Source organism: Homo sapiens, chromosome 14 (genome assembly GCF_000001405.40).
Source record: "Homo sapiens chromosome 14, GRCh38.p14 Primary Assembly".
Taxonomy (NCBI): domain Eukaryota; kingdom Metazoa; phylum Chordata; class Mammalia; order Primates; family Hominidae; genus Homo; species Homo sapiens.
In genome coordinates, this window is record NC_000014.9 from 51,756,735 (window position 1) to 51,764,817 (window position 8,083).

At 44.1% G+C, this 8,083-nt stretch overlaps 2 pseudogenes; one reads left to right on the forward strand and one right to left on the reverse strand.

The window, feature by feature from the left end:
- OR7E105P (olfactory receptor family 7 subfamily E member 105 pseudogene) lies at positions 257-1,252 on the forward strand (annotated as a pseudogene).
- On the reverse strand, positions 6,314-7,340 carry OR7E106P (olfactory receptor family 7 subfamily E member 106 pseudogene; annotated as a pseudogene).

Below are 8,083 nucleotides of genomic sequence, written 5' to 3' on the forward strand. Positions count from 1 at the left end.
GATTTGTTATACATGACGTTTTGGTCTTCTAATATTCTTCAGTGGATTTTCTCTAAAGTAGTATGTACCGAAAGACTTGTATAGCAAAAAAGTAAATCACATAATAATTCTGAGATTTTTGGAATTGTCACAACTGAGAAACATTGCTGGCGGTGTATGGTCCGCAAGTGTGAAAATGTTCCTTGTGAATTGCTTGCATCCAAAATATACACACAGCATTAAGGGCTGGTTTTTATCTTTTATTTTCCCAATCCTCTTTCCTTCTCAAGGTGTCCAAGACACACAGAGCCACTGAATCTCACAGGTGTCTGAGAATTCCTCCTCCTGGGACTCTCAGAGGATCCAGAACTGCAGCCGGTCCTCGCTTTGCTCTCCCTGTCCCTGTCCATGTATCTGGTCACGGTGCTGAGGAACCTGCTCAGCATCCTGGCTGTCAGCTCTGACTCCCACCTCCACACCCCCATGTACTTCTTCCTCTCCAACCTGTGCTGGGCTGACATCGGTTACACCTCGGCCACGGTTCCCAAGATGATTGTGGACACGCAGTCGCATGGCAGAGTCATCTCTCATGCTGGCTGCCTGACACAGATGTCTTTCTTGGTCCTTTTTGCATGTATAGAAGACATGCTCCTGACTGTGATGGCCTATGACTGCTTTGTAGCCATCTGTTGCCCTCTGCACTACCCAGTCATCGTGAATCCTCACCTCTGTGTCTTCTTCGTTTTGGTGTCCTTTTTCCTTAGCCTGTTGGATTCCCAGCTGCACAGTTGGATTGTGTTACAATTCACCATCATCAAGAATGTGGAAATCTCTAATTTTGTCTGTGACCCCTCTCAACTTCTCAAACTTGCCTGTTCTGACAGCGTCATCAATAGCATATTCATATATTTTGATAGTACTATGTTTGGTTTTCTTCCCATTTCAGGGATCCTTTTGTCTTACTCTAAAATTGTCCCCTCCGTTCTAAGGATGTCATCGTCAGATGGGAAGTATAAAGCCTTCTCCACCTGTGGCTCTCACCTAGCAGTTGTTTGCTGATTTGATGGAACAGGCATTGGCATGTACCTGACTTCAGCTGTGGCACCACCCCCCAGGAATGGTGTCGTGGAGTCAGGGATGTACGCTGTGGTCACCCCCATGCTGAACCTTTTCATCTACAGCCTGAGAAACAGGCACACACAAAGTGCCCTGCGGAGGCTGCGCAGCAGAACAGTTGAATCTCATGATCTCTTGCATCCTTTTTCTTGTGTGGGTGAAAAAGGGAAACCACATCAAATCTCTACATCTGCAAATCCTGCCCCTTGGTCACATTATTTTTGTGGCTTGACGGCTTTTATTCCTTTCCGCATTTCCTTTGTGAATATTGCTTTCTTCGTTATGCCTTTCACTGGAATGGGTGAGTATTCTGGGATCCTTTGTTCAGCAGAAACCTCATGACAGAATCCTCTATACCTAGGCGGCCTCTTTTAGTTTCTGAGCAATAACCCTGTCATCCAGGTGGAATCACAACCATCTTTTTATATACATGAAGTCCTCACTTCATTTTGGAATTCCCTGAAAACTGACTTTATGGAAACAATGTACAAGAGGTCCTCCAACACCATTGGTTGTTCAAAGTTGTGTAGTTATACTGTTGATGAAAAATAAGTGGTTTCACTATACATAACTTTGCTTCAAGGTGAAGTTTCCAAGAGACTTTCAAAGATGTTAAGTGAGGACATACTGTACATCAAATTCATAACCTCTTCCACAGTTCATGTGGAATTTCTTTATAAACTGCTTCTAGAGAATCTATTTAGGCAGGTTGTGTGTAGAGATCCATGTCGCCGTTCCTCAATCTTGGCTTTGAGTCAAATCACCTGGGGAGCTTACAAATGATGAGGCCTGGGTCTCGATACCTGAGATTCTGATTTCCTTGCACCTGTGTGAGTATGTGGATTTTTTTTTTTTTCCTTTAAAGCACCAGAGGTGGTTCCAATGACGAAGTTTTTAGAGGCATCAAGCTCCAATGAGTAAGAACAGAAATTAACTGTAATATGATTTCTTCAAATATTATCTTCAAATGCGTTGTCCATCAACACCATACAATGTGTATTATGCTGTTTTTTTCTTACCATTTCGCATTTTCTATCTCTTTCTTTTCCTTTTTTTTTTTGAGTCAGAGTTTCACTCTTGTTGCTCAGGCTGGAGTTCAATGGCACGGTCTCGGCTCATTGCAACCTCTGCCTCCCGTATTCAAGCGATTCTCCTGTCTCAGCCTTCCAAGTAGCTGGTATTACAGGCATGCGCTACCATGCCTGTCTAATTTTTTTTTTTTTTTTGTATTGTTAGTAGAGACAATTTCTCCATTTTGGTCAGGCTGGTCTTGAACTCCCGACCTCAGGTGGTCCGCCCGCTTCCACCTCCCAATGTTTTGGGATTACAGGCGTGAGCGACCGCGCCCAGCCACCACTTAGCATTTACATTTTACATTTGTTGAAGTTATAGATTTATACACACATTGATTGCTGCTTTGTTATACACTTGCACATACATAAGATGGGAAATAGAAAAGAATAAAATGGGCACAGTATCCCTGAAGTTTCACATTCCGAGACATTTTAAAAACATTAGCTCTTTAGAAATTTGTTTCGATTAAGAAACTGTGGTATACACACCCAATGAAGTATTATTCAGCCTAAAAAGGAAGAAAATCCTCTCCGCTGCAGAGAAAATGGATGAGATTGCAGGTCTGTATATTAAATGAAAGAAGCCAGGCACAGAATGACAAATATTTCATGTCCTCACTTCTATGTAGGAAGAAAAAAGGAAACCTTGGCCAGGTGCGGTGGCTCAGGCCTGTAATCCCAGCACTTTGGGAGGCCGAGTCGCACGGATCATTTGAGGCCAGGAGTTCGAGACCCGCCTGGCCAACATGGTGAAACCCCGTCTCTACGGAAAACACAAACAATTAGCCGGGCGTGGTGACGCGTGCCTGTAGTCTCAGCTACTCGGAGGGCTGAGGCCCAAGAAGCGCTTGAACTCGGGAGGCGGAGGTTGCAGTGAGCCCGGACTGTGCCTGTGTACTCCAACCTGGGCAACAGAAAGAGACTCCATCACACACCTACACACAAAAGGAATCTCAGGAAGGTGGAAAGTATAAAGGTGGTTAGCAGACGCTAGGAAGAAAAAGGGGTGGGATGGGGAATGAAGAGAAGTGGATAATTGGGTCCCAAAATACACAAAGATGGAATAAGTGAGTTCCAGTGTTTGATAGCACAGTATGGAAATTTTAGTTCACAAGAATTTCTTGCATATTTCCAGATGCTTTGGTAAGAAGCTTCCTAATTTCCTAAGAGCCAGCGGGGGCCGCGGGGAGCGCCTCGTCCCCTGGGATGGGGGTCCTAAGAGCCAGGGGGGGAAGCGGGGCTGGCTCTTACTCCCCGCACCGCTGAGGGCGCCTCGCCCCCCTGCCATGAGGATCGTCATATCCAGGGTGGGATTGGGGGGTGATATTATTCCCCGAATCGCGGGGGGTGCCTCACCCCCCCGTCCATGTGGATCGTCATATCCAGGGTGGGAGTGGGGCATGATATTACTCCCAGAATCGCGGGGGGTGCCTCACCCCCCTGCTATGGGGATCGTCATGTCCAGGGTGGGAGTGGAAGGTGATATTACTCCCCGAATCGCGGGGCCCCCGCCCCCATGCGATGTGAATCGTAATATCCATGGGGGGAGAGGGCGGTGATATTACTCCCCGATTTTTCCTAGGATCCTTTCTAAACTGCCACCCTCCGTTTACACCCTGCGACATTATCTTCCATATTGTAGCAACATGCAGCTGCTAAAGTCGCAGGGGGTGTACACCCTTCAATATTATTCGTAATTTTCTAGGGGAAAGTTAAACCTCATGTCACAGGACTCTGTACACTGTGATGTCATCCCAATATCCTAGCTTTATCTTAATAATAATGTCACATTGTGTGTACACCTTGTGGTGTTATTCTTATTCTCCTAAGTGGAGGTTGTTTTATTGTTACAGGGGATATTTTCCTTTTGATATTATTCGTAATGTCCTAGAGGGATGTCACCCGTTATGTCACAGGGTTTGTACACCTTGTCAAATTACTCGTATTATCCTCATAAGATGTCACTCCTCATATCACAGAGGGTGTACATTCTGTGACATTGTCGTCATATTCTAGGGAAATGTCACTTTTAATGTCACAGAAGGTGCACACCTTCTGAAATTATTCGTTATAATTTTGTGGGGTGTTACCCCTAATGTCACACGGCGTGTACACACAGTGATGTTACGTGCAATATGCTGTGGAAATGTTGCTCGTAATTCACAGGTCCTGTTCACCCTTTAATATTATTTGTACTCTTCTAGGAAAACGTTACTGCTAATGTCACAGGGCGTGTAGACCCTGTTATAAAATTCCTAATATCCCAGCGGGAGTTCACTACTAATTGCACAATGCGTGTAGACCCTTTGATATTATTCGTATTGTCCTGAAGAGATGTTACTACTGACGTCCCAATGCAGGTACATTCTCTGATCTTATTGGTTATATCCTCGGGGGGTGTTACTTCTAATGTCACACAGGGTGTACTCCCTGTGTTCTATTTCGTAATATCCTAGGGCAATTTTACTCCGAATGACACAGGGGGTGTACACATTGTGATATTATTTGTGATAGTCTAGAAAGATGGTGCTCCTAATGTCACAGGGCTGTACACCCTGTGATAGTATTCATAATGTCCCAGGGGTCTATACTCCTATTGGCACAGACGATAACACCCTGTGACTCTATTCGTAATATTCTAGTGAGATAATACTTCTCATGTCACAGAGGGTGTACACCCCATGTTATTATTCTTACTATTCTAGGGGGATGTTACTCCTAATGTCACAGGGATGTACAACCTGTGATATTATTCATAGTGTACCTGAGGGATATTAGCACTAATGTCACAATGTGTGTACACCTTGTGATATTATTTGTCGTATCCTAATGCCACAGGGGGTGTGTTCCGTGTGATATTCTTCCTAGCATCCTAGACGGATATTGCTCCTAACGTCACAGGGTGTGTACACCTTGTCACATCATTCACAATATCCTAAAACTACTTTATTCCTCCGGTCACAGAGGGTGTTCACCCTGTGATATTTTTCATCATAGCTTTGTGGGATGTTACTCCTAAAGTCACACGGGGTGTACACAGAGTCACACAGTGATATGAGCTGTAATATTCTATAGACATGTTAATCGTAAATCACAGGGGCTGTACCTCCTGTGATATTATTCATAATATTCTAGGGGAATGTTGCTACTATTGTCACGGGGGTGTACACCCTGTGATGTGACTCGTCATATCCCAGCGGGATGTTACTACTAATGTCACAATGCCTGTATACCCTGTGATATTATTTGTAATATCCTAAAGAGATGTTACTACTAAGGTCACAATGCATGTACACCCTCTGATATGATTCGTTATATCCTCGGGGGATGTTACTCCTAATGTCACATGGGGTGTACTCCCTGTCATATTATTCGTAATATCCAAGGGGGAGGTTATTTTTAATGTCACTGGGGGTGACATTACACATTAAAAATGCGTATTCAACACCTGTGATACTATCCCTAATATCCTAGGGGTATGCTCTTCCGAATGTCACATGGGGTGTACACCATGTGTGTACACGTGCTGTGATATTATTCGTAATATCCTAGGGGAACGTTACTCCTGATGACACAGGCAGTGTACACCATGTGTGTACCCCTCCTGTGTTATTATTCATAATATCCTAGGGGGATGTTTCTTTGAATGTCACAAAGAGTGTACAAAACGTCACAGGAAGTGTACACGTTGTGACGTTATCTGTAATACCCTAGAAGGATGTTACTCCTAATATGTCACAGGGGTGTACACGCTTTGATGTTATTTATAATCTCCTAGAGAGATATTACTTCAAATATCACAGTGGATGTACACACATAGTGTATACCCTGTGATGGTATTCATAATATCCTAGGGAGATACAACCCCTGATATCACAGTGCGTGTACCCCGTGTGTGTACACCCTTGATATTAGTCGTACTATCCAGGGTAAATATTACTCCTCATATCACACAGTGTGCACACCCTGTGATATTTTTCATCCTACTTTAGGGAGATATTGCTTCTAATATCACAGTGGGTGTACCCCATGTGTGTATACTCTGTGACAGTATATTTTATATCCTAGGGAGGTATTACTCCTAGTATCACAGTGGGTGTTCACCCTGTGATATCATTCTTATTTCATCATGCAGCCTTTTTCGACCCACACTGCAAAAGGAATGGAACAGATAAGAAGGTATTGAGATTAGAACGTGCTGCCGTGCGGCCGCCGCAGGACACTTTTCATATCCCTGTTTCTCGGACTGTAGATGAAGGGGTTCATCATGGGGGTGACCACTGCGTACATCACTGAGGCCACTGCAGTCTTTCTCGGGGAAGATGACACATCTGAACTGAGGTACCCTCCAACGCCTGTTCCATAAAATCAGGAAACATCTGACAGGTGAGACCCATAGGTGGAGAAGGCTTTATACTTCCCACCTGATGATGAAACCCTCAGAATGGAGGAAACAATTTTATCGTAAGAGAAAAGTGTCCCCGAGATGGGAAGAAAACCAAATATGGCATCAGGGAAATACAGGATTATGTTATTGTTGAAGGTGTCACAACATGCAAGATGGGGGAGTTGAGAAGGGTCACAGAAGAAATTAGGAATTTCCACATCCTTGAAGCAGGTCATTTGTAAGGCAATCAAATTGTACAGCTGGGCATCTAAAAGACTGAGGGAAAAAAAAAAGACAACAAAAGTAGAAAGCCACAGAAACACGGGTTCATGATGGCTGAATGATATAGAGGGTGACATTTGGCTACAAACTGGTCATAGGCCATCACACTCAGGAGTATGTCTGTCTTCCATGCCTCCAAAAATGGCAAAGAGAGACATCTGAGTCAGGCAGCCTGCATAGGAGATGACTCTGCTGTGAGATTGGATGTCCACAGTCATCTTGGGGACTGTGGTGGAGGTGAAACTGATGTCAGGCAAGGACAGGTTGGAGAGGAAGAAGTACATGGGGGTGTGGAGGTGGGAGTCAGGGCTGATGGCCAGGATGATGAGCAGGTTCCCCAGCGCCATGACCAGGCACGTGGACAGGAACAGCCCAGTGAGGACCGGCTGCCGTTCTGGATCCTCTGAGCTTCTAGGAGGAGGAATATAGAGACATCTGTTAGATTCTGTGGGTCTCTAGAGATTGGACACCTTTTGCCTAGAAAAGAGGGTTGAGAAATTGGAAACAAGTAAAGCAACACCCAGCATCATGTCTGCATTTTGCATAGAAGCAATTCACAAGTCATGTTTTCAGATTTCAGAGCAATCCACACTCAGCAATAGTTTGCAGTGCTGACAAACTCAGTTGTCTTCTAATGCTTTCATCATTGATTTCTGTGTTCTTCACTTCTTGCTCTACACACCTGCCTTAGAGACACTAGATTCAAGAATCTTCCAAGAACCAAATCATCCTATATAAGAAGTTCGTCATTGCTAGAAAATACAGCCTATCTTTTCCGAAGAAAACGATGTAATGAAACCATTCTCTTCACTTTAAGAAAAAGGTTATCCTAATGAAAGGAAATTAAGAACTCAAATATTTTATTTTATTCGAATAGATTGATACAAATTCCCTTGATTTAGAACATCTGTAAACACTGTATAACTGCTGAGACCATGCCATCTGGAAATGAAATTAAAGTTGATGGTTCATAAGCAGAAAATAGTTCCACAGGCCAGGTGGGTCCCAGTGATTTCATCATTACGTTTTCTGACTTTTCTCCTTCAAGAGAGTAATTGCTTCCTCAAATCAGTGGGTCTTGTTTTAAAATTCATGGAAGCTATAACTCCTATCCTTAGCTTAGGTGGACTTAGAGTTTTCATCAGAACGTTTGGCCGGACGCGGTGGCTCACGCCTGTGATACCAGCACTATGGGAGGCCGAGGAGGGCGGATCACGAGGTCAGGAGATCAAGACCACCCTGGCCA